At 37.1% G+C, this 1,781-nt stretch overlaps 1 annotated feature.

Annotated features, from left to right (window-relative positions):
- Nucleotides 337–1,536: an enhancer, noted in NCBI's record as "BRD4-independent group 4 enhancer chr18:69673999-69675198 (GRCh37/hg19 assembly coordinates)". NCBI's record gives its function as "activates an origin of replication core promoter dependent on BRD2, P300/CBP, MED14 and CDK7 cofactors, and independent of BRD4, by STARR-seq in HCT116 cells {active_cell/tissue: HCT116}" and the evidence as "EXISTENCE:reporter gene assay evidence [ECO:0000049][PMID:35650434]".

Below are 1,781 nucleotides of genomic sequence, written 5' to 3'. Positions count from 1 at the left end.
AAGAGAGAACAATGTGCTTTATTCAGTCTACACATTTACTATGTATTTATTTATTTATTTATTCATTGAGACAGAGTTCTGCTGTGTCACCCAGGCTGGAATGCAGTAGTGCGATCTTGGCTCATAGCAGTCTCTGCCTCCCGGGTTCAAGAGATTCTTGTGCCTCAGCCTCCTGAGTAGCTGGAACTACAGGTGCACACCACCACTCCCAGCTAATTTTTGGATTTTTAGTAGAGATGGAGTTTTGCCATGTTGACCAGGCTGTTCTCAAACTCCTGGCCTTGTGATTCGCCCACCTCAGCCTCCCACAGTGCTGGGATTACAGGCGTGAGCCACCGCTTCTGGCCAAATCTACAAATTTAAACATTAATATCAACCAAAGCACCCTCATCCACACATCCATAATAATGTTTGATCAAATATTTGGGCATCCCATGGCCCAGTCAAGTCAATACATAAAATTATTCATCACAATTCCCACAGATGTGCGCCTCAAGATGAAAACACAAAATCATCCAGCCTTTCAACTACTGTGAAAAGTACAGATTTTTACTAAAGAAACCCTCCACCTGATTCTTAAAATAGGTATATGATGACTAAGTCATATTAAAAATCTCTTTGAGGGGATGAAAGTCAGATAAAATCCACAAGAAAGTGTTCAAAATACTCTTGAGGCTTTGGAATCTGTTCATGTATATCTTTACAGTTTTTCTTCAGCTGCTGACAAATGACTCATGATTTGAAAATAATGTCAACTGTCATTTCAAAGTTCCCCTACCAATGCTGACTTAAGATAACAACAAATTTGTCTATACCATGATGAGTAGTTTTATGAAGAAATTTAGTGAATATCCATTTGAAATCACTGAGTGCTACCAGGCAGCCATCTTCAGAGGGTCAGAGATTACCTGAGTGAAGAGTACAACCATATATATATTTTTTCATTCTTTCCTTCCCAAACCAAATAACTATTGATATCTTGTAATGACTTACTTGAATTATTCCAAAATGTATCCTTTGATGATTAAGACAGGATCATAGCCTTTGATACAGCTACTCGTTGGCATAATGCTTTTCTATATTTCCTTCAGCTTCCATATGTCCACATCTGGATTTGCCTGGGCCTCAAACTTTATAATGGCCACCTCTCTAAAAAGTAGGCATGTACTTAAAAGTCCATTAACTTGTTGTCCATTTTAGATAAGGGTTACATCCATTGTGTGGACTCTAATTGATGTACTTCTCGAGAGACATACTTGTCATCTGTATAGATAATTTTTGGCTAGTTGACAAGCTCTGGTATATGCAATAAATGCGGCCATCTTAGCTAATTTTACCTCAATGGAGGGCTATAGTTTAAAAGAGAGCTTAAATTGGTAATAATATATCCTGCTTAAAAATCTCCAATTTTAGTTCTGAGATATGGCCCATTAAAAATATGATATATTATTATTTTCAATGACAGTCACCAATAAATACAAGAGGGGTAAAGAATATTCCACAACTGAGGAAAACAAACTATTCTGAACTTCTAGTGGAGGCAGAGTGTCAGCGTTCAAGTTTTGCAGTGGTGAAGGGCAAGCCTGGGCAAGAGAGTGAGACCCTGTCTCAAAGAAAAAAAAGCAAAAAATTAATCTTTCAATTTATTGGAATGAGAATAACAAGCTCCCTGTTTATATTTACCTATACTATATTTACTACGATGAATAAAATACATCGGCTTAGGTTAGCTGTTCAGATTCATCCACATTTCCATTTAACTAGTGTTATATGCCTTTTAA

The sequence above is a fragment of the Homo sapiens genome, chromosome 18 (genome assembly GCF_000001405.40).
Source record: "Homo sapiens chromosome 18, GRCh38.p14 Primary Assembly".
Classification (NCBI taxonomy): domain Eukaryota; kingdom Metazoa; phylum Chordata; class Mammalia; order Primates; family Hominidae; genus Homo; species Homo sapiens.
Note: the sequence above shows the minus strand (reverse complement) of the source record. Positions and strands in the feature narration are given on the sequence as shown.